Source organism: Homo sapiens, chromosome 18 (assembly GCF_000001405.40).
Source record: "Homo sapiens chromosome 18, GRCh38.p14 Primary Assembly".
NCBI lineage: Eukaryota > Metazoa > Chordata > Mammalia > Primates > Hominidae > Homo > Homo sapiens.
This window is the reverse complement of record NC_000018.10, coordinates 11742190-11767596: the sequence shown is the minus strand read 5'-3', so window position 1 is coordinate 11767596 and position 25407 is coordinate 11742190. Positions and strand designations below refer to the sequence as shown.

The following is a 25407-nucleotide window of genomic DNA, read 5'->3' as shown; positions in this document are numbered from 1 at the left end:
GAGAACAAGCGTGCAAGGCCAAGGGCGTGGAGAGTGCAAGTGTGCAAGCACAAGGGCTCACAGAGTACAGCATGCAAGTGTAAGGATGCACACAGTGCAGGCATGCAAGCAGCAAGAGCAAGCATGCAAGCATAAGGTGCACAGAGAGCAACTGTGCAAGCAAAAGGGTGCACAGCGGCAGGGGTACAAGTATAAGGGTGCTCAGAGGCAAGTGTGCAAGTGTAAGTGTGCACAGAGCAGGTTTGTAAGCATAAGGGTGCACACAGAGTAAGCATGCAAGTGTAAAGGCACAGAGAGCAAATGTGCAAGCATAAGGGTGCCTAGAGTGCAAGTGTGCAAGCATAAGGGGGCACAGAGAACAGGTGTGTAAGCATAAGGGTGCACAGAGAGGAAGCATGCAAATGTAAAGGCACACAGAGAGCAAGTGTGCAAGCATAAGGGTGCACAGAATGCAAGTGTGCAAGCATGGCATATGGGAGGGAAGTCAGGGATTTCTTCCTGGGCAGAAATATCAAACTGGGTCTGTAAAATACAAATGGGTATGGGAGGGACAAAATGTCTTAAAGCCAAAAGGAAGAATACAGGTTGGGTACAGATTGAACAGGAAACTCTTGTGAGAAAGATGACATGTAGCAAGGACCTGTAAAGTTAAAGAAATGTCCCGAAGAACTACCAAATGCCATCCCAGGTTATTAGCCACGCTGAACCTACATCAAATGCCCTCCAAACGTCCTGCCTGGCTTAACTGTTCAATTTATGATCTCCCTCAGTGAGGAAGTCTGCAGCTTCTACGCTTTAAAACACCAGTATTTCATGGTTGTCTAATAAAATCGTTCTATATTTTTGCAATTAAGTACTCCGGCATTTGGTCTCAGCACCCAAGCAGTTTCCAGCTAATTTACTCTATTGTTAAATTTCACTTGGAAAACATTTACTTGGCAATTCAGGTTAGATATTTGCCCCATACTAACAAGATTAACTACGGTAACATTTTATAACAGATTCTCTTCACTACAAGATAAAAGTAGGTTGAGAAGATCGCCCTTTGGGGACTCGAAGTCAGTTTAAGGCCAACCATTCTGTTGAAACACCACACTGGCTGTCTCTGGGGACTCTGGGGGTGCTGGGCAGGAGCAGCCTCTTCCCTCCCTGCTCCTTTATATCTTTTGGATTTTATGCCATCCACAAATATTTCCTATCCAAACAAATACAAACACAAATTAAAAATGGAATTGCTTTGTGTAGTGAGAATGTTATGCATACAGTTGATTTAATTCCATTTATGCCATGAAGATGACAGGATAAAAAAAGTATGAGATTATTTTAAAGGTGAAAAAACCCCCACACCTTCATGGATGACATTCTCATGCAAAACTAAAAAATAAGAAAGCCAGTGTTTCAAAGGAACCTTCCTCAAGAACAACTTCATTATTCTGCCTCTTAAAACCTAGTGTGCTTTTCTCACAAACCACACGTGTTGACTCATTTAAGTCTTAATTTGGCATAAGAATAGCCTCCTCGCTCTGCTCCTTCTACTGATTCCTGAGAGAGTGCTAAGACGTTCAAAATATTTTCTCTCAGTTACATAAAACTAGCAACGATAAGAACAAAATGCTCTAATACTTAAGGTATGTTTAACGCCATATTCTTCTGAAAAGAGCAAGGGTCCTTAGAGATGAACAACAAACTTCCAATACATTCAAACTGGAGGCGAACTTTGGAAACAAAAATCTTTTTTGTTCAGCCTCACATTTTCAAAGGATTTGAAGTTTCAAAGACATCCTATCCAAGAAATAATAATAAAAAAAATGGTACACAAATACACAATGGAATATTATTCAGCAGTGGAAAAAAATGAAGTCCTGTCATTTGCAGCAACATGGATAGAACGAACATTGTGTTAGGGGAAACAAGCCAAGCACAGGAAGACAAATATCACATGTTCTCACTCCTATGTGGGAGCTAAAAAGTGGACCTCATGGAAGTAGAGAACAGAATGATGCTTACTAGAGGCTGGGAAGAATAGTGGGGAGGTGGGTGAAGAGAGAATGATCAACGGGCACAAAAGTACAGATGCACAGAAGGAATAAGATACAGTATTGAGGAGCACCATGGGGCAACTGTAACTTAATAATTTATTGTATATTTCAAAATACCTAGAGGACTGGAATTAGAATAGTCCTAACACAAAGGAATGATAAATGTTTGAGGTGACGGATATTCCAATTACTCTAATTTGATAACTTACTGTATGCTTGCATCAAAATATCACACGTACCCTATAAACATGTACAACTATTATATATCCATCAAAAAATTTAAAAACCAAAAAAAGTTGCCTTAATTACTTTGTGGCCTTTTAATTCATTTTCTGTAAGAAAAAACACTTTAGATAAAAATGGTCATGTGGCTCAAGCCCCGATTTCTTGGTGTGCTGGTGAGTTTGAGAGGTCGCTGTTGTGGCTGGTCCTCCATGTGCTTTTATTATCAAGAGCATGAAATGATGCATTTTTTATGATGACAAAGCAGCCTCACCATCTCCATTTTCTTTTTCTAATTGTTTTTTCATCAGGTATTTTTATGGGGCAGCCTGTGCTGTTAACCATAAGGAACATCAACTGATTTTATAGATATTTGAAGAATAGATGTAAAACAACTTTTAACCATTTGCTTTTATTAACAAAAATAAAGTCTTCAGTATGTACAGTCTATTATATTCAGCTTTCATAGATATGCCTGCTTCTTTTGACTCCAGCCCACCCCACCTAGCTACACAGAACTTACATCCATTTTCTTTTTTTTGTTGTTTGTTTGTTTGTTTTGAGACAGGGTCTCACTCTGCCGCCCAGGCAGGAGTGCAGTGGCTGGATCATGGCTCACTGTGACCTCTGCCTCCCAGGCTCAGGGAGTTGCTATTTCAGGTGGCAGCCACCACACCCAGTGTATTTTTTGTAGAGACAGGGTTTCACCATGTTGCCTAGGCTTGTCTCTCAAACTCCTGGACTCAAGTGATCCACCCGCCTGGGCCTCCCAAAGTGCTGGGATTACAGGCATAGGCCACCTATTTTATTTTAATCATGGTATTTAGAAAGTCAAAAGATTGAGCAGTTTTCTCCCTTACATATTTATTGCTCAAGCCTACTGGTGTGTGAAAACTAGAGTGTGAGTTTTGATAAGAACAGGATATTTGGGCCAGGCATGGTGGCTCACGCCTGTAATCCCAACACCTTGGGAGGTCAAGGTGGGCGGATTACTTAAGGTTGGGAGTTTGAGACCAGCCTGGCCAACATAGTGAAACCCCGTCTCTACTAAAAATACAAAAAAATTAGCTGGGCATGGTGGCAGGTGCCTGTAATTCCAGCTACTCAGGAGGCTGAGGCAGGAGAACTGCTTGAACTTGAAGGGAGGAGGTTGCAGTGAGCCGAGCTTGTGCCACTGCACTGTAGCCTGGGCGACAGAGCAAGACTCTGTCTCAAAAAAACAAAAAAACAAAAAAACAGGATATTTGTACAGTTTCAAAAAACATTCCTGGAATTTACTTATAAATTACCAAGGGAAAAAGGGCATCTATATAGAAGCAGACCCCACCTTAACTAGTGACCAGAGTTAACATCACAGATGCACTGAGAAGGAAGGATTCATGATCACTTCTCTGCTGTTGCTCCAAATACAAAACCTCAAAGGAACTCTGAGTGTGGGTGTTCTACAAAGTCAATGTCAGGCCAAGGTCATGACAAAAAAGGTCGGCTGAGCAACTGTTCTAGCATAGAGAGAAATGGAAGTTAAATGTCATGGCTGATCCTGGATTAGATTACTGACCAGAGTTACCAATATCATTATTTATTATTATTGTTACTGCTATTATTTCATTAAATTATTGAGACTCTTGGTAAAATCTGAGTAAGGTTTGTTGATTACAAAATGATGGTCAGATGTGGTGGCTCACACCTGTAATCTCGGCACTTTGGGAGGGAGGTGGATCACTTGAAGCTGGGAGTTTGAGACCAGCCTGGCCAACATGGTGAAATCCCATCTCTACTAAAAATACAAAAATTAGCCAGGCATGGTGGTGGGCTATGCCTGTAGTCCCAGCTACTTGGGAGGCTGCAGTGAGCCGAGATCGCACCACTGCACTCCAGCCTGGGAGACAGAGCGAGACTCTGTTCAAAAAAGAAAAAAAAAAAGATATCGTATTAATGTTAAATCTCCTAATTTTGATACCTGTGCTGTGGTTACAGAAGTGAAGTGGATGTCCTCATTCTAAGGAAATACACACTGATGTAGTTAGAGGCAAGGGGGCATGATGTCTGCAACCAACTCTCAAATCGTTCACAAAAATGTGTGTTAGTGTAGAGAGAGTGAGAGCATGAATGTGGCCACACATTAGCTATCGATGAATCTGGGTGAAGGACACATGGCAGTATTCGGTACTTCTTTTGTATTGTTCAGGTAAAGATTAAAATCACTTCAAAATAAAAAGCTAACATTGATTAGGAGTACCTCTTATGATAATATTGCAAAGAAAAAAATGGAATTTAAGAAAAGTATCTTTATTGAAGCTCTAATACGGTTAATCTATCTAACTGAAATGTTTTACTATAATAATAAAAATTCCTTTTATTAGCATCTCAGATGTGCAGAATAATACAATACTTATTCTCAGTGGGGGTTTCCCTCCTCCTTAATATCATGACATAAGCCATGTGAGACCTGGAAGCAGGTTTCTGGTACAGGAAATGCCCTTTGTCCAATGACAGACAAATTCCCAGAGCACCATCCCCACAGCAGATACAAAGCCTGGTCTCTTTATGAATTCGGAAGTGATCCTTCCAAAAAAACCTTGCATTTTTGTCACTCCCCCAAAGAAAACCGTGGAATGGTTCTCCCCAGCCTTGAGGAGGAAGCCCAGGCCCCTTGGCCAGGCTCGCAGGACTCTCCCTAACCCGCCGTGGCCTGACTGGGCTTTTGGTCTGCAGGGAAGGTGCCACCCACCCTGAAGCACTGTCCTCTCTATGTCCACCTGCCCTCTAAGCCCGTCCCATTCAAGGAAGATTCAGCTCAGTGTGACGCCAGCTGCATGGGTGTCCCCAGGTGGCCCCAAGAACTTCCTTAAATGTAGCCTTACACACCTGTATTTCTTAAGCCTGTATCCCTGCCAGAGGTAGAAAAGTGCTGTTCCTTATTCATCTTGGTGTCCACAAGATGGATAATATGTGTACTGAATAATTACTGAAGCAAGGGCAGTCCACGTGACCTCTTCCATGTCACCCGCTTCCCCTCCACAGTGCTGGCAGAAGAGCTTCGGGACCTCCATGTGGCCCCACTGAAAACTGTTGCTTATGGACTACTCTGTGATGTCAACCTTTCACGGGAAAGACAGGCAGCTCAGGAAGCCACGTTCCATCTTCGCCAACTACTGGGAAGCTCCATGGACAGCTGGCAAATGAAATCAACTTCCATGTTGCCTCTCCCTCTCCACCTCCTGTGCCTCCCTGTCCTCAGCTGGGGCTGTCAGGCCAAATGGTCCCTGAGGCCTCACGCACCATCTATTTTCAACACACATCACTGTTTTCCTCTGCAAAGTGGGACTTCTGTTAGGCCCTATAGAATCAATACGGCAGCCCTGAGCCTAAGACACAGGCGTTCACTGCTTCCAGCAACCAGGTGTGCAAATTAGAACAAGAAAGATTATTGTGCATTTTAAAAAAAGGTCTTTCCTAGGACTTTTTTAAAAACCAGAGAACATGCCTTAGGACATCTAACTATTTGTGAAGTATTTATTTTAGCATGATCTCCCTGTGAGGGGTGCAGTCAGGGTGCATTTCACCTTTCTACCACTAGACAGCACGAAGCAAAGGTGCACTGCGGTGAGCACAAAAGAATGAGGCTGCAGCTTATTGGAACTTGCAGCAAAACTGGGCAGAAACTGCAGGCCTAGGGAGAGAGGCAAAAAATCCCATAGAAATCTGCAAAATCCAGGGGAGTTCCAGGCACCCTCAAAGAACCTGAGACTAGGCCAGCCACAGGATCAGAAGGCCAGGACACAGGCCAAGCCGAAATGGTGGGAAAGAGCAAGGCCAATGTTAGCAAAGAAAATCCAACTGAAAATAAGGTAGAGAAAGAGAAGGAGAGCCGAGCTCTGGGGCCTGCTGGTAACAGAGAACAGGCAGGAAGGGAGGTCCATGGTAACCTGCCAGAGAGCCTGGGGGACTCCCACATGAGAACCTGTGCTCTGAGAGGGCATGGGGATGAGGATTCCTGAGCAGTCAGGGGCCTCACTTCCTTTGGGGAAAACTAGGGGTGCCTTCTCCCAGGAGGGCTGTGAAGTGTTAGGCATGTCAGCTCTTGGCATGGGACAGAAGGGACTGCCTATAAATGCTGGCTTGAGGTGGAGGTGCAGGCGGTGACAGCTAAGGGGTGCGACTGACTCCCCGTGGATCCAGAGGGGAGTGGACAGTAAGCCATGTCAGACCACGGGACCTGGGGGCCGTGTGGACTGAGGTGGGGCCACCAACCAGCCCCAGCAACTGAGGCGAGGCCAAGAATGGCGCTAGCTCTGCTCCACTTCCTCCAGCAGAGCAGGATTGCTCATTTTAAAGCTGTACCGCCCATGTCCCAGCCACTGTTTTAGATATTAACATGTTTAATCCTCACATCAGCCACAGGAAGTAGGTGTTGCCATCATCTCTACTGTACCATTGAGAAAAGGCAGATAGCAATGAGGTCATGTGCTCAAGGTCACATACAAAGGGTCTGGCAGGGCTAGAATTTGAACACAGTTTGGGCTGGCCCCACACCTCCCCTTAAGACCCCCTTTCAAGATACAAACACCATGCTGTCCACAGAATCCCAGGCCTGGGGGTGTCTGCACCCTGTCCACCCTTGTGTCCCCCTGCAGGGGCTCCTTACCAGCCCTGCCTCAGCCCCTATGAAGACCCAGGGGAAGCGCCAAGCCCAAAGACCCTTCTCCCAGTGACTCCCATTCAAGACAGACCCAGCAGAGGGGCAGTGAGACCTTAAGTGGGCCCCTATAATAAATTTCCATTTATTAATTACATCTGAAAATACTGGAAGGAAAACATGGTACTTTTTCCTTCCATGCCAGACACAAGCGTCTTTAAGAGGTTCAGTGTACTGCAGAAGGCGAAAGTTTACTGTGCCCTTTTTACACCAGCTCAAATGTTGCCTTTCTCCCATAAAACATGCACCAGACCTCACTAGCTCAAAAGGCAAAGAACAGGATGGCTGTGGGGCAATCAATTTCAGTACCATTTTGAATTAGGTGGTTGCTGTTTTGCTGTATGTGTGGGGACCTCATGTTCTTTCACACTGTGTGACATCCCAATTGGCCTGTCCCCTGACTTCTTGTGCCCACAGGTCCTTACTGAAGTGGATTCAGAGGATTCTATCATAACCTAAGTTAGCAGGCACATGGAGATTGTTTGTAGCGCACCCAGCAGGAGATGCACTCCAAGAGCGAGCTGCGGGGAGAGGAGGCGGTGGAGAAAGAGGCCTGGTCCTCAGGGAGCGAACACAGCCAGCCCCATCATTTTCTGATGGCACTGGGAGGTGGGTTTGATGAGGTACTGGGCAGGAATGGTCACCCAGGGTGCAGGGAACCCAAGTAGAGGCTGCCGTGGAGGAACTCATGCTGACCTGATTTACACGGTGGGCTTCAGCTTGGTTGGTTAAAAAAAAGACACACACACGAAAACCCACAGCACAAAGCCTTCTAGCAGGAGATAGACACAGGCTTGGAGAGGGAACACAGATATTGTGCGGAAGAATCTGACCGCATTCTGGAGATTCTGCACACATCTCCCAAGGAGAGGCGGCAGCACACGGCAGCAGCCGCTGGAGCTCTGCATGGCACTCCCTGGGCTGGGCACCGCACTTGGCTCTCTATGCAGGGCCCAAGCTGCAGTGGGTGTAGGCCACTTGCTCAGAGTCACACCAGGCCGTCTGGCTCTCGGGGCCTTGGCCCAGGCCACTGTGGCCTCCTTTGCCTGCACACTGACCGAACACTCAGACGTTAGCCACACAGGGTGCCTCCTGACTTGGGGCTGCTGTTGGAAAGTGACAGAGTAGCTCTCACCTGGGAGGAAGGCAAAACACTGACCTCTGCTCTCTGGGTAATAATTTAGGAAACACCAGGTGGTAATGGCAAAGTACTGACCAACAGATCAGACTGCTTTTCTGTTTCTTGTTTAGCCTGATTTATCCTCTTCCCCTTAGAAAAAACTAGCAAAATACAATTTGAAAAGAGCTAATAAAGTATCCACATTTTAAGAATAAAAATGAAACAAATGAATAACTCAATTGAATTCAACAGTGATTTTGCTTGGTATAGTGCTAAAGGATTTTTGGAGGAGGCAACCACAACATTTTTCTTCTTTTTTCTTTTCTTCCTTTTTGTTTTTTTTTGAGACGGAGTCTCGCTCTGTTGCCCAGGCTGGAGTGGAATATCACGATCTTGGCTCACTGCAACCTCCGCCTCCTGGGTTCAAGTTATTCTCCTGCCTCAGCCTCCCTAGTAGCTGGGATTACAGGCGCCCGCCACCATGCCCGGCTAATTTTTCTAATTTTAGTAGAGACGGGGTTTCACCACGTTGGCCAGGCTGGTCTCAAACTCCTGACCTCAGGTGATTGACCTGCCTTGGCCTCCCAAAGTACTGGGATTACAGGTGTGAGCCACCATGCCCGGCCTATTTTTCCTATTTCATAAATGATCAGCTAATCTATGTTTTGGCATAATCACTTAAGACTATTTATTTTGCATCATTGCATCTGCTGGCTGCTATGCAAAATTTGGCTGCTAAGACATAGTGCCAACTAGTGAGGGGCTTACGGAGTGGGGAGTCAAGCCTTGAACAAAGATAACCTGAAGCTTTGGGTGTATTCATGAGAAAAACTCTAATCAGGCAACTGTCAATTCATTATTTGTAGCTAATCCCAGTACTTTTCTATGGTGATTTATGTGTTGTAAAATATGTTTGTGTTATTTCATTTGAAATTAAAATTTAACATATGCTGACCTTGTCTCCAAAGATTTCACATTATTCTGCAGCAAATATCCTGCCGGTTTGCTGTGAAGATAACTGGAGTTTTTTTATTTTTTGCTTTGACCTGGTATGAAACTCCCCTTTACAGTTCTGGCTTGTGAAGGGAATAACTGTATCACGTGAGCTCGAGGTCACAAGAATTTTATCATCCATCACTGTTCATTATAACCTGAACAATACCAGTTTATGGATAATTGCAAAACTAGACGATCATCCCCATGTAAGCTACCAATTTGCTTTCACAATTTGCTTGAAAAGCCTTTGCTAACAAGCCCTCCCTCACCTCTCTGCCACCAAATCTGAAAACATACCTGCGTCTGCACCTGTTCTCTGCCTTCTCAAGTGGGGAGTTGGTCTGGTCCTTTTTTGTTCCGGACCCCATTCTTCTCGAGGACTGGACTCCTGCCATACACAGCCTCTTTCTTCTGTATTGTCATTTTCTCCTGCTTTACCAAGTGATTCCAGCCCTTTTCATTCAGACAGGGTTTTGTATCTTTCATCTTGACCTTGCCTACCTTCCCAGCTGCTGCCTGGCTCCTCAGCCTTCCTCCACAGCAAAACCTCCAGAAAGCCTAATCTGCCGCCGCCACCTGCACCCACTCACATCACATTCTCTCCTCAATACCCTCCACCTGGGTCCTTATCAAGGTCACCGGTGACCTTGAAGCCGCCAAAGCCATTTTAACCTTAATGTCCATCTTGACTCCCCGGTCAGCACTGCCCACCGCTGACATCCCTTCCTTCTGCAATGGCTCCTCCTGGGGCCTCACGCATCCAGCTGTCCACCTGGTGTCTCCACTTAGATGTCGTAATAGTCATCTCCAACTCACCAGGAAAACAAAACCTCCTCATACCTGCCTCCTCCCAACCTGTTTCTACCTTCTATGCAGAAATTCAGACCCAAACGCTCAGAGTCATTCTTGATTGATCTATTTCCCCTCAGTACTCATATCCACATGCCGACAAGTCTAAATGGTTGTTTCCAAAATAAATCCCAACTCAGGCCACTTTTCTCCACCCCCATGATCCCCTCCCACTGCAAGCTCTCCCATTACCTTTCCACTGTATTATTAGACTAGTCTCCGAAGTGGTTGCCCTCCTTCAACTCCTGCCTCCCCACAATCCGTTCTCCATCCACAGCCAGAGTGATCTTGATGAAACACAATGAGATCTCATGGCTCCACTGCTTAGAACCCTCCAAAGCTTCGTGTGTCTGGACACACCTGGCCTGTAAGGCTGATGATAAGATCCAGCCTCTGAGTCTCTCTGACCTCCCCACAGCAGCCCTTGGCTGATAGGTACTAACCACATTTGCCTGCTTTCTGTTACAACTTCAGATTCATGGAATTCAACTGAAATTCAAATGAAAGACACCACAGAGAGCAAAAGACCCAAAGAGCAACCCACCCGTATTTCCCCCATGTGCAATATTCTCAGAGAAAATTCTCAAGATGTTTGTTTCTAAGATAAGTTATTCTTCTCCTTTTCCTTCTTAAATTGAAGAACCCTAAAATTAATTTTTAACTTTAATATAATGTATTTGTTTCAAAAGTTATCTTACCCCTACAGGAAAATTAACTTAAGACCCTCAAATAATTGAACCATGACACTGACAGGCTTTCTCAAGGATTCAATCTCAAAAAAGTACTGGACTGAGTAAAACAGTGTTTTGTTTACTATTAAAATACTTGATTTAGCTCTACTTGTATGTTTATAAAAAACATACATTCTTTTAAATAAAAGTTAATTTTCCAATGGAGCATATAAGTCAGATTTGTCTTGATATCATTCTGAATGAGGATCATCAAAATATGAAACCAAGAACTACATAATTTAATAAGTAATATAAATATTTCCAAGCACTATGAAATAAATGTCACTAAAATTCTGTGCATACTAAAATTAAAAATAGCATTTTCAGAAGGAATGTTGCATATTTAACATTAATTTCCTGATTTATATAAGTCATAAGTCGGGGCTATGTTAAAAATATATAAATATACATAAATATATATATAAAATATACTCTCATTTGACATGTGCATAGACATTTAAGACAACAGAATGTTAGGCTTAAAAAACACCAGTAAAACTAACCCCCACAAAAGTATTACCTCTGAAAGAGCACTGTAATTACATTTGCATCTGCTGGTGCTAAATTCTCCTTTACTGTAATGATAATTAATTATGCTTTCTGAAAATAACTTTTAAGTAACCTTAATTTATCTATCTGAAAATACATGCATTCAAAGCAAATGGTTTCTCAAGTTTTTAATTAAAAATGTTCATGATTTAGCTCCAAAAACACTTTCACAAATTAGATGTTTTGGATTCCTTAGATAATATAGGTGGGAGTTACCAATTGTTTCTGGATTTGGGGTTGAATATGGGATGCCTCATCAACCGTGAGACTGTTATGAACAGGAGAAAGAAGACATGGGACCGATTAATAAATCTTAATTTTAATTTCTCACTAGATGTTAAGAATAGCATTTCCCCCCAAATATATAAGATGTTTTACGATTACTTCTAGGCAAACATGATAGGATAAATCCAAGAACTCAGATGCTTTTCTATAAATGTCTAAATCTGAAGTTGAAAGGGAACACCACTCCTGATTTCAACCAGGACCATGTAGTTCTGGGTGATTTTGCCAGTGTACATAGCATCAGTGAGAACCGGGAGGACATCTGCACCTCCAGTTAGCAGAGGATCCTGGTGTGGCTGGAGCATCTTCTGCCGACCCCTTCCCCTGCCACGTCAACCCCTTGCCCTCTCCAAGCCATCCAGTTAAAGACATGGGGCCAGATGCCCAGCCCCTTCTTCCAGCCAGTGTGCCACTCCTCACTCCTCCATTTTAGAAATTCTACAGATATCACTGGCTCTACACTGGCATGCTTATCAGAAGCAAAAATCATATTAAAGGATGAAAATAAAAGCTTTTTAAAAAAGTTATTCTTGGCTGGGCACGGTGGCTCATGCCTGTAATCCCAGCACTTTGGGAGGCCGAGGCGGGTGGATCATGAGGTCAGGAGATCGAGACCATCCTGGCTAACACGGTGAAACCCCATCTCTACTAAAAATACAAAAAACATTAGCCGGGTGAGGTGGCGGGCGCCTGTAGTCCCAGCTACTAGGGAGGCTGAGGCAGGAGAATGGCGTGAACCCGGGAGGCGGAGCTTTCAGTGAGCCGCGCCACTGCACTCCAGCCTGGACGACAGAGAGAGACTCCATCTCAAAACAAACAAACAAACAAACGAAGAAACAAAGTCATTCTTATTAGCCATCCCAATACAGAGCCCACAGGACAATGGTGCTCTGTAGAGAAGGGGTGGGGTGAGCCAGGGGCCACAGCCCTTGCAGGCAGGGCGGGGTCTCTCTGTTTTACATATTGGTTTCTCCACATGCTTCCCTTCAAAGAGAGGATTCTAAGAATGAAAAATGTCTCCAAACCACCATGCCAGGCAATACAAATTTTGAAAGACTGTTATTGATGAATACACATACACACACACACACACACACACACACACACATACACACTCACTTCTGGTGCACTGTAACAAAAATGAAAATGACTTTCTGAGAAGCTTAACAAATACTTTTCCTTTGAAACATGCTTTATGAAATGACCAAATATTTTAAAGAAATGTATATTCTGAAAAATGAGAGAAAACTAAGATTGATGTCACTCTTTTGCATAAGCAATACTGCCATCCAAGTGATTAGGAAAAGCAGCCCTAAATAATGCAAATGTGAACCAAACTGCATTTTAATATGATAAACATTCAGAAGTGATCCATGCTATCATTTTTTATACAATGCATTCTTTTCTCAATTGATCTGAAGGCTGTGCATCTTCAAAGTAAACTGAATTCTGCTCTTTCTGTAATTCCCATGGAAGCAATTACCTACCATAAGTATTTTTCTCTACTCATGTAATTTCTACTGTTTTTATCTGGGAAACTGCTTAATTGTTAGTTTAAGAATACAGACAGGAAAAAAAGCACCATCAGTATTTCTTAAAGGTATGCTGCCTTCCCGATTATCAGCCTTCCCCATACACTCATAAAAGCATTTCTTGCAATCCCATTGTAGTTAATTTTTTTTTTTTTTTGAGATGGGAGTCTCGCTCTGTCGCCCAGGCTGGAGTGCAGTGGCGTGATCTCGGCTCATGGCAACCTCCACCTCCCTCGATCAAGCAATTCCCCTGCCTCAGCCTCTTGAGTAGCTGGGATTACAGGCGCACACCACCATGCCCAGCTAATTTTTTTGTATTTTTCGTAGAGATGGGGTTTTACCATGTTGGACAGACTGGGCTTGAACTCCTGACCTCAGGCAATCTGCCCGCCTCGGCCTCCCAAAGCGCTGGGATTACAGGTGTGAGCCACCGCCCCTGGCCGTAGTTAATATTTTTAACAAACACAAATATTTTGGTACAGAATAAGTATTCCTCTTATGCATTTAGAGAGCTGGATTTCGAAGAAAGTTAATAATGAATTAGTATCAATATTGATTCTCAATAAGAAACCTTATTAAAAATGGTTCCATCTTTCACTAGTTAGAATATTTCAGTAAGCATTTCTTACCTGGGAATATTCAAAGTCAGTGATAGGGGCTATGCTCTTGATGTAGTCTGATCGAAATTGGTTTTCAGGGTTGGCCAGCGGAACTGGAGGTATTATAGTACTCATTGCTGAAACAATTGTCTAAAATGGAATAAGAAAAAAAATATGGATAAACATTTAGGCTCCATGTATGATAATCTACAATATGTAATTTCTGTCTACACAGTTTTAGAATGAAGAGCACTTGACCTTTCTAGTAAACAATCATTTAAAAAAGTCCTTACCACGATAGCATCTTTAACATTTTTCCGGATGTCCAGAATTTTCTGTTTCTTTTCCCTGTATTGAAAGAGAGTTGTTATTAGCTTAATTTACTCTTAGCACTGATTCCAATCAATTGAGTGGGATTTTAAATTTCCAGCTACAGCACTGACCTAGACTGGTTTCACTAGAGGTCAGTATCAACCCCCAAGACATCCGCAAAGGTTTTATCTGGGAAAGGAAAGCACCCTTCTTTTCTAATTTGTACTCTAAACAAACTTGAATGCACACATTTTTTTAAAAATCTATAGCTTTAAACAACTATGCAGGTTACAGAAAAACTAGGCAAAATCGCTATGGATATTGCATATAAATATAACATGCAGTTACACCTGTAAATGTATTTTACCTAGATCTATCCCATGGATAATATGTTGACAGTTATAAACTGAAATAGATGCAAACAAATAATATTATATTGAAAAAAATATATCGAGATATTGGTTAAGTGTGCTCAGAGCAATACCAGTAATACAGATCAACACTCCAAGAATACCTATAAATCATATTTTGTTAAGCAAGTTTTTTTTTCATTAGACACTAGCAGAAGAAGGATTTGCCTAAATATACCAAATCCAACAGCAAATATCTAATTTTTTCCCCCTTGAATGTCTACTCCATTATCAAATAAATTAAAATTGTTTAGAGAAAGCACTTTTGGGACGTCTGGGAGAGAGACGAAGTTTGCATGCAGTTTGGAAGCAAACTGAACATTCTTACTCGGGATTAAACCCATTGACGTGCAGGATCCTCATCTGTTTGACGATAGTGCTTTTCCCAGACTCACCAGCCCCTGCAAACAAACAGAAAGAACGCTGTGATCTGTGTCCGGATATCGCTGCCATCTCTCACCACTAGCCGGGTCTGAGCAATCCTCCTCCCCCAGCACGGGGATTTCCTACACGCGGGTTCCTGGCTGGAGGAGCTCGCCCCGGCCGCCGTCTGGGCTCCGCGGCCCAGAGGTGCGCGCGACCCTCGCCCGGCCCTGCCCGCCCAGCCTGGCGCTCGCCGCTCCTGGCTGTGCGCTCCGCTGGGGCCGGGAGCCGCCGCGCGCCCCTCGGCCTTACCCAGGAGCAGCAGGCGGTGGGTAGCCTTGTAAGCCAGGCGCTCTTTCTGCAACTGCTTCTCGATCTTTTTGTTGGCCTCGCGTCGTTCTTTTTCATCGACGCCCTGGTCTTCCGTCGTCTTGCTGTTGCCGCCCAAACACCCCATGCCTGCCCGCTGGGATGGACGTCAGGAAGTTAGGAATGTGCGCAAAAAGCAATAGAGAGTTGGAGACGTGTGCGGCTCCTGCGACGGCTCCTCTCTTTCCTGCTGCTGAAAGAGATGGTCTGGTCTCTTCGGTGTTTTCCGATTCAGAGCAGGCGTTTCTTCTCCCTCCCCCTGCCCACCGCAAACTCCCAACTAAATGGCTGTAAGGAAGACGCGCGGAGTAAAATGCCTTTTTACACGAGAATTGTTTCAAAATCTGCTGGATGAATACAGCACAATGAACGGAGACGGGGGGCGAGGGCGCCGGTCTCCGCTGGAGACAGCCGAGGTGGCGCAGCGCCCCGGGTTCGCCCCACGTCCCTTCGCCCGCACTCCAAGCCTCGCTCAGCCCCGCCCAGCGGGTCCCCGAGGGGGCGGCGCGCTCGGCTGGGTGCCGGGTCCCAAACAGCCGGGGTGGTGGCTGAGCGTGGCGCGGAGGACAGAGCGCGCCACCGGGGTCCCAGAGGGCGACGATGGGCACCTGCCGGGCCGGCTCGCGCCCTGCTATTCCTCAGCCGTCGGACGTGCGCCCCCTCCCTGGTCTGGGATCCCGGTGCGGGGAAGGGAGAGGGAGGCTGGCTTTGGGGGCGGCCGGGCCGCTGGTCCCGGAGCTCTCGGAGAGGCGCTACCGCGCTGTAGGGGTCAGGGAGCTGACCCCCCACGGAGCCCGGCCGGCTGGGGCGCTTACACGCTGACCGGCCTGGGTTCCGGGCCCGCAGCCCCTCCGCTGCGCCGCGGCCGCCTGGCTCTCTTGCACCCCGAGCCGGGAAAGTGCGTCTGGGCGCGCGCCCCGTGTTGGCTCGGACGCGTCCCTGCTCCTGGCGGGCGAAGACTCGCGGAGGATCATGCATATTCTAGCAGGGAGGAGGATCCCTCCGAGGCTCACCAGTCACACCGCCTTTGTTCTGCTCAGCTTCTAGACTATTCCAGCTCGCCCACGTCGCCGCCTCCCGAGCCTCCTGTCTTTACCTCCAGCCCCCGTTTCTCCTGTGCAGTGCTCCCAAGCAGCACAACAACTCTTCCAGAAGGCACTGTGGCCTCGAACTTGGCGTTGTAGCAGAGGAACGAACTAGGGCGCGAGACTGGCACCTGCCCTCCGTTACTGAGACCCCTCCAATAGGGCCAGAGCCGGCAGCTTGGCGTTTGCAGTGTTGTACTTGGGGGAAGGAGGTCAGAAGAGGGGGCCGGGCCGAAGTCGTGGACACCAGCCGTGGGCGTGGAGAAATCACTGTTCCTTGTGTGTGGCGGCTCCCAGTTGACCGTCTCGGGCTTGGCGCTGCGCTGTCTAACTTGCCTTTGCTCAGCTCTGTCGTCGAGTGCCTCCACCTTCCAAGAAACCTACACGGTCTTCTTCACTGCGGAGCTGGCCTTCTTCAGGAGAACAGACCCCAGCCCGCCCCGGCTCCCCAGGCGGCGCTTCCCCTACCCTCAGGCCCGCCGCTGCCCTGTGGACCTTCGCCCCTCACCCAGCGCACCTTCCCCTCTCCACTCTTGCTTCAACCTCTCCTGCTACCGGCTGGTTTCCCTCAAGCAAGCGAACACATTCAACTCTGTCCCACCTGAACCACACAACACCTTTCATCTCACGCCCCTTGTTAGTTCCACCAGTTTTCCTCCTGCCCACCGCAGCCAAGAGTTAGAAAGGTCGTCTGACTCCGCCTGTATTCCCCTCCTGCTGCTCCCACCTCAGTACCTGGCAGCCTGGCTTCCACATTCACCCCATAGGGAAAATACTCTCATCAAGGTCATCTAGGGCCCCCCAGGGGCCAAGTCTCATCCATGAATTTTGGTCTTTATTTTCTTTCCGTCTCTGTGGCTCCTGCTTTGATCCCTCCTAGAGACTGCATTGGGTTTCAGGCTGTCCCTCTGGCCGGTGCATCCGGGCTCCTCCACCCAGGGGTCCGAGGAGCCGTCCCCACAGCACAGCCTCTCAACCCACACACGTTCCTGACGGGCTGACTGCATCCTCCATACTCTGCCCACTCAGCTCTCACCGTGCCCACCGCGGATCCCTAGCCCAGCCCATCCTGCTGACCACCACCGTCCCCAGACACACCGCCCCCACGGTGCCGCAGGTGTCTGGAATTCACCTTGCCAAGGATTGAGCTCATGCCCCGTGCCACCCTCACGCCTTCTACCTGCTCCTTTCTCAGTTCTTTCTCTGGAATAAGGGCCCCTAATTTTCCAAACCAGAACGGTGGGAGTTATGCCAGATTCCATTTTCTTACAAACCCCAACAGTTACCGCATCCCGTTGGGTCCGTTTCCTGAGTATCTGTCCTGTTCTTTCCGTGGCGTCTGCCACTGCTGTGGTCTTAGATTACTAACAGAGAGCTGGATTTCAGAGGCCTCCGGACGGTTTCCACTGCCTGCTGTCTCATTTCAGTGCACCTTGCACAATGCTCCCACTGCGATAATACAAATCCAGCCACATCACTGTCCCCATCATCTAAGGACCTGGGCCTGGTCCTTCTGGTGGGGTTAGTATAAACTCTCCCCTTCTTAGGGCTTACCCCATCCCTCCTAACACTCTCAGTTCCTGAACAGGCTGGTCGGGTGCATGTGCTGCTTGTGTCTTGGGAATACCTGGGGACTCTCTTTTCTGGGTCAACCCCCCTAGTTATCCTTCCAGCCTCAAGCTGGGCCTCACTGCCTCCCTCACATTGGGGGTTAGGCCACACCTTCTCAAGCCCTAAGGGAGCACCAGATTCTCCGCTGGTCTCACCCATCACCTTGCATTGTTATGGTTTAACTGTGTCCTCAAAACTCCACTAGACTGTGGACTCCTTGAGGGCGGAGGCTGAGCCTATCCTTGTACCTGCGGCACCGGTACCTGGTTCAGTGCCTGACCCAGAGGAGATGCGCTGGGAATATTTGTCAAGGGAATGAATGACGTCATGAAAGCGAAAGATAACTCCAGCTCAAAGTGTGAATTCTCATCAAAGGAATTTCATGACCACACGTAAAAAATATTTGTTCAATATAGTACTTTTCAATAAATATTCTTACTGAAAATAAAAATACATTTAAAAAATGCAATGAATTACTTTTCTAGACAGGCAGAAGCAAACATACACTGTCAGACTCCATTCTGAGCTAGGCTAAAAGTTGAAGTTCTGTGGAAGGAGACTGTTTAGCACAGTTTCCACAGCTCACATCTTATGAGTGTGTAAAGACATATATTCACACGTGGCAATATCAACCCAGCATGCGCTATGACTAGTGGGGCAGTCAGAAGGTGAGGTTTTTTTTTTTTTTTTTTTTTTTTTTGAGATGGAGTCTGGCTCTGTTGCCCAGGCTGGAGTGCCATGGCATGATCTCAGCTCACTGCAACCTCTGCCTCCCAGCTTCAGGGGCTTCTCATGCCTCAGCCTCCCGAGTAGCTGGGATTATAGGCACCCGCCATCACACCCAGCTAATTTTTTGTATTTTTAGTAGAGACGGGGTTTCACCATGTTGGCCAGACTGGTCTCAAACTCCTGACCTCAAGTGATCCAACCGCCTCGGCCTCCCAAAGAGCTGGGATTATAGACCTGAGCTACTGCGCCTGGCCAGAAAATGTATGTGTCTGTGCTTTTTTTTGAAAAAAGCATAGAGTAGTGGGATTTTTATAAGGATTTGCCAACTTTTTTTTAATGTCAAGATTTCTATAAAATGTTGGACAGCAGGGGACAAAATAAATCCCTTGAAAACTTATAAAGGGAGAATTATGTTAGAACCTAGAAGTCACATTTTTAAGGAAGTCTGATATTTAGTTTCCCTAAAAATATAGCAAAAGATTTCCACTTGTTCAGATTTAGCAATCAGTGTTAAAGATAAATTCTATATTTGAAATTTAAGAAGGATTAGGTAAACAGATGTGATGAAAAAGTACCAAAATATACCCAGGAAGTTAATATATTAATAATATAATGATAATGTGTGTGCTATAAAACTGCTTCTAGTTATGGAGTGATTGCTGGCACTGGGTTAAATCCTTTCCATGGAACAATTTACTTGGTATTTGCCCTAAAAGGTGGGAACTATTGTCATCATCATTTTACAGAGACTGAGAGGCTGAGTAAGAAGAGTATCTGGGACACAGACCCTTGCAGCCTGGCTGCAACATTCGCACTATTACCTGCATTGTGTGCCACAACACATTGCCAACACTCTAAAACATAAAAGCACTTTCCTTACACAGTGACGAGACATTTCTCATGAAAAATGCAAAGCCAATCTTAGCCTATTTTCAGGTAGGAATTCAACACACCTTAAAAAAATTTTTAACCCAATCACCTGACCTTTTTCTAGTTTGGTCTGGGAAACCGATTCTCATTTGTGTTTAGAACCATTGGATCAGCATCAGGTGTACCAGCTGGCCACCTGGAGCAGTGGGAGCAGGGCTGGTGGGGAGGGTACCAAGAGCAGAGTGGCGCCCGCTGCCAGTGTGAGCGTCTGTTGCTAGGCAACCGCAGCAGCAGCATTGCGCTCCCCGGCAACACACCCACCTGCGGGGACCCAGGGCTGCCCTGGGAGCCACCGGCAGAGGGTCCAGGCTGACTGCGCCAGAGCCAGGAAGAGAAGGTCCTGGTCACCTCGTGGAGAATTTGAAAGGCACAAAAGTAAAACAGTTGTTTCCTCACTCTTGTTGAAGTTTAAGACATACAGGATGTCTCAGAAGTCTTTTTCTTTCTTTTTTTTTTTTAATTTAAGACTTTTATTTTTTTCACACCCCAGTAGGCCTGGGTGATTTTCCTTGCCCCCCTATCCATCCCCAGTACCCCTATCCATCCCCAGTACCCCTATCCTTCACAACAAGAACATTTGCTGTTGCTCTTTGGCTCAGAGAGCACCTAGGCTTAGGTAGCTGACTTGCAGTGGGTCAGTGAGCGGGCATCGATCCATGTGGGCATGCGGTACTGGGTCAGCCACTGCACCCTGCCTGGGTAGTGGCATTCAAGCCTCAAGGGCATGAACAGACTTCTTTGGCTTTAGGATATTGAAGGGAAATTTCTGGCCCACATTTGCTGTCATTGCGTCTTCAACCTGATGTTCAACATATTCCTGTAACACCTTAAACCAGGCATTCTTATTCCATCCCTGAAGGCTTCTTTTGTTCCCCAGAGAATCTCTTCAGGGTCTCAGACTGGAGTCCTCAAATGTCTCTTTCAGGAGCTGTTTCTCCACCTCATCTTTGGAGTTCTCATTTCTGGTGGCAGAGACATGTAACAGGAAGAAAATCGATGATGCAGAAACCAGACTCTCAGTTCAAGGCTGTGGGCAGCGTGGGCAGTTCGATCTGCGCTGAGAACACCAAACAAATAGAGCTCCTTCAGAGGCCTCTCTCTCCTCGGCCTCATGAAAATATACATAACCCTGCATAAGTTCATCTGATCTCTGTCCAGAGAAGATCACCATGCTATCTGTGTTCTTCCAAATCTACTCGGAAATTAAATACTCACCTACTGAAGTGCAAACTGTTGTAATGTCCTAAGTTTCCAAGGAAAATATGACTTCATCCAGAGCCTGAGTGCCTTCCTCAGAGTTCAAGAGGGTTTCATGATGTTCACTTCCAATACGATCTGCCACTCGTCCAGCAACCAATAAATCAGGGCTGCCCTCCATGCCAGTCACAAATGTCTGGGGAGTGTATTTTGCACTGCGTCTCTTTCAGCTGCTTCACCTGGGTGGCAGCAACCAAGCCAGAGTCCAAGCCCCTAATAAAATGGAGCCTATCCTTCTGTCTGTCGTCAAAATTGTCCTTCTCCTTTTTCTCCCTCTCCTTCTTCTTCTTTCTTTTTTTTAGACACAGGGTCTCACTCTGCTGCCAGGCTTGAGTGCAGTGGCACAATCACAGCTCACTGTAGCCTCAACCTCCTGGGCTGGAGGGATCCTCTCCCCTTGGCCTCCCAAGTAGCTGGGACTACAGGCATGTGCCACCACTCCTGGGTAATTTTTAAATTTTCTGTAGAGATGGGGTCTTGCTATGTTGCCCAAGCTGGTCTTAAACTCCTGGACTCAAGTGATCCTTCCACCTTGGCCTCCCAAAGTGCTGGGATTACAGGTGTGAGCCACTGCACCTGGCATTAAATTCTTCTTAATATCATTGTTAAAAAGGAACCAAAGCTTGCTCTTCAAAGTTTCTGTCTCTAAACCTGAGAAGAGCTTCTCCACATTGTTACAGAAGGCATGCAGAGGTTGTACCTACAGTGATGATATTTAACCATTTCCACAGATGCAACTTTGCCATTTGCCTTTAAATCCAAAACTTCATAGTGTCCCAGAACAAAAGGCTCCACTTTTAAAAGGGGAGTCGTGGAGTGCTCCAATGGAACAAGAACTTCAGCTTCTGAAGACACAACCAAAATCCATCTTCTGTTACGGCTTTAAACAAAACCCGACTCCCTAGGTATCTCTGCCCAAGAACACTTTCTTATTGGCAGTATCTAGCAAAGTAATTGCAAATACATCATCCAACATACAAACTGTTTGCTCAATCCCTCTTTTGTCGTAAAGATGACGATTATCTCACTATTCACGTTGGTCTGGTGTTCAAATTCAAAATGGTGTTGCATCTTTTTTTTGTGGTTGTAGCTTTCACTATTGTAACAGGGCTACAAATATGGATATTTCTTCACTCAAATCGGCTGCATTCCAAATAGCTGATCAACCACTGCCAACTGGTGAAATCCAAAGAAGCAGTTGGTGTGTCCATTGGCATTCTCAAAACGAAATGCGTGTGAACAGAAAGGCAGTCGTTGCTGCCAAAGAGGGCCCAAATGCCATATACGGTCCTGTGAAGCCATGGGCTCTGATTTATTCAAATAAATCAAATGTGATGGAAAAGACTAGGCACCAGCGGGTCAGGTTGGAGGGGACAGCCAGGGCCAGGGCTGCAGAAGGCATCTCAGAAGTCTTAGTGCATTTGAAAGTTTAATTATTTAAATTTCTTTTATACTTAGTTTTGTAAATTTTGAATAATAATTTAAAAACTTGGTCTCTTTCAGTCTTTCGGATTGAAGATGGCAAATGTTGAAAAAAAAGTCACCTGTTCTCTGGTTAGCTGAGCTTAAGTCCCCAATAGCAGTAAGAAGGAAATTTGTTTCCCATTATAAGGAGCCTCCCACCCCTGCAGAAATTTAATTAACAACTGGATGAAAGGATGAAAAAATTCAAGGCAGCTGTTTCAGTTCACGACAGGCCAAGATCCAGGAGATGCTGATCAAGTTTGAAAACTGACTAGATGTATGTATAGCACAAGACGGTGGATACATTAAATTTTAATAAAAAAACAATAGATAGAAAATGTAATAACTGGTCTTCTGTAGTCTTTATACTTTAAAGGTTATTAAAGATGAAAACTGCACTAAGACTTCTGGAACAGGTACATCAACAGTTTTAGCGCCCATCACAGTGGCTCACACCTGTAGTCCCAGCACTTTGGGAGACCAAGGAGGGGCAGATTGCCTGAGCTCCGGAGTTTGAAACCAGCCTGGGCAACATGGCGAAACCCCAATTCTACAAAAATTACAAAAGTTAACCGGGCATGGTGGGATGCACCTGTAGTCCCAGCTACTTGGAAGGCTGAGGCAGGAGGATTGCTGGAGCCCAGGAGGTCGAGGCTGCAGTGAGTCATGTTTGCATCAGTGCACTCCAGCCTGGGTGAGAGAGCGAGACTCTGTCTCTGAGGAACAAAACAGTTTACGAAAGGTGAATGGTCACTAAATTCTATGCACTAACAATGCTCCAAGAAGCCGAAAGCTATAGCCCGAGAGTTGCAAACAACTGGGTGGTGCTGGAGTTGTGGCCACTGAGTGACCAGTGTGCACACAGCCCTCAGATGGGGGTCCCTTCGGGACATTTTAAACAACTTCCTGTTGTTTTATCTCTCTTTTTTTTCTTAGTATCTTGGTGGAAATAACCTGAGTAGATGATCATTCATTTTTAGCAGCAGAGATCATTCTGTGACCTAATTATAGTACACTTAAAAAACATCATGATAAAAATTTTAACGATTTTTAGAGAAAAGCAGGGAAATATTTTTCCATTTTCCTTTTCTGTACATAATAATCTGTGATCAAATATTTTAGAATGTATTGAAATAATTTATCTTCTATTTTTCTTACCCCTATAACCAAAGTAATATTAAGGAGCTTTTAGAAGTGTCATCTGTAAAGGAGAATAACACATTCTTCTTTAACTCACAGCTTTAAAAACCAAAATAACACTGAATCAGTAGGAAAAGTAGGTTACATGTCTCTGACTTCACCCCTTGTCCAAAAATCCAGGACTGAAATATCCAGTGCCACTAAAGCACTGGACTCAGTGGCACAGATAGGAGTTTAATTACTGTGTTAGAAGGTGGAAAGGCCATTGAATATGTCAAAACAAAACCAAACAAAAGCGTATCCCACAAAGCATAACAAGAGGAACCTGCAAATAGAATGAACTATCAAGGTCTTACAATTCAAAAATATCCCCGAAGACCACCAAACTAGGTCAGGCTGTGAGGCAAGGGTAGGTGTGGGGACCACTGGTGTATTTTAAGAGAAACCACACACCTCAAAGTTGCATTTAAAACACATTTTACAAACCAGAAATCAAATAAAGTGCCCAATAATTTGCATTTGAACAGTGAAAATCAGCAACCCCATCTGTTTCAATCTGCTGTTTAACCTCAAATAGCCTAGCAGCATTTTGGACTACAGCAGATATTCAAACACATGTTGTTTAGCCAATGTGTTTTAATACCAAAGTGAAGTTTCAAAACCAGTCTAAAAAGCTTTAAAGATGGTGCTCTCTTTACCAATTAACAAACATCAGATGAAGTAAAATGTAAAAATTTTTCAAGCAAATCTACCATATATGAACAAAGTTTCTTTCTGAGGGAATATTTTATGATAAAAAATAATTTTAGCACTTAGAGGACGGTTCTAGATACCCTGACTTTTCTACTCTTCAAATGATTATATTCACAAACATATTTTAGTATAAAGTGAGTCGGACTCCACAAAGTCCCTTGATTTGGAGCAAAAAGACAGAGGAACAATGTGGTCTGCATTGTAAATGCCTAACAGTGGTGGTTTTTTTTTTTTTTTTGTATTAGTGAGTGCTCCTGTGGAAAATCAAAGGTGTGGTGACATCCACGTGTTAATCCCAGTGTTAACACCTGATTCTGTGTAAATCCTAGCGCCAACACCTCATCTCATGTGGCCCCTAGGCTAACACCTGATTCCACATGAATCCTAGAACTAGCACTGATCCCATGTTGGAATTCAGTAATGTCTGTCTGTCTGCCTCACACTGTTCTCATATTTTAAGCAAATCAAGTGGGGATATACCATAAGGGAAGATGGTTCGTAGAGTCCAATTTCGTGTCCACACAAAAAGGAAAGGAGGATTCAAGTAGTTGAACACATGGATATTGCTACCTACAGGCTGTCACCCAAAGAGATGTATTCCAGAAAGGATAAGAACACTCTAAGACCAATTTCTTAAGTTTCTGTGCAGTTGAGCAAATAGGACTAGCACAGCCCACTCACTCAGAGGGCAGTGTGCCAGGATGGGTATGAGCCGAGGGCTAGGTGGCGTGGGAGGGACACTGAGGGGTGTGTGAGGGTCCTTGGAATCCCGCAAAGCTTCATCATGGGAGCGGCATCCGAGGCCGGTGTTGAGGAGTGGTGGGGTCGGACCACATGGAGGGAAGGCGCACATTTAAGGTGAGAAGGCACTGCAGAAGGATAGGCAGAGGGAAGGGAACTGCTATCGCCCAGGAGGCAGGTTGGCAGACAATGAAACTCAGTCTCAGAGGTCGGGTGAGCATATGAGCCCCAGAATGCGTGTTCTTGGCACGGAAACTTTTCTTAAGAGGCAGCCCCTCCGCTGGGTGCAGCATAGCGGATGCCGAACAAGAATGCCAGCAGAGGTCCCTTTCTTTGTTATTCTCTGTCCTTCTCAGTGCATGGGTGAGGGTAACAGTACTCCCCTCATGGGGCTGTGGTGAGGATTAGATGAACTGATTCACTGCATCAAGCTCCCAGTAAGTGGACTGTGGTAATTATGACGATCATTCAATAGGAATAGAACTAATATATATCCATCTTATCCCTCTCCATGAGGCAGCATGTGGACATCCTTGAGGATTTCCTAGCTTTTTCTGCTGAGCAGACACATGAACAACGAACTATAGTACGGTCAACAAAGACTCACTGAGGGCCTGTGACA

General features: G+C 45.5%; 1 protein-coding gene and 1 pseudogene across 5 annotated transcripts in view; both read right to left on the bottom strand.

Moving 5' to 3' along the window:
- The window catches only part of GNAL (G protein subunit alpha L), a 196422-nt gene that overhangs the window by 118089 nt on the left and 52926 nt on the right, over positions 1 to 25407 (bottom strand). For 2 of the 5 annotated variants that reach the window (NM_182978.4, XM_006722324.4), the window contains exons 2-4: positions 14672 to 14744; positions 13915 to 13969; positions 13652 to 13771 (exon numbers count right to left, since the gene is read on the bottom strand). In NM_182978.4, the coding sequence (NP_892023.1) occupies positions 13652 to 13771; positions 13915 to 13969; positions 14672 to 14744 (248 nt within the window). Of the gene's footprint in view, positions 1 to 13651; positions 13772 to 13914; positions 13970 to 14671; positions 14745 to 15018; positions 15513 to 15890; positions 16005 to 16088; positions 16126 to 25407 lie in introns of those variants that run through there. The other 3 variants (NM_001261443.2, NM_001142339.3, NM_001369387.1) reach the window with 3 other exon arrangements.
- Positions 19890 to 20947, bottom strand: ASNSP6 (ASNS pseudogene 6; annotated as a pseudogene).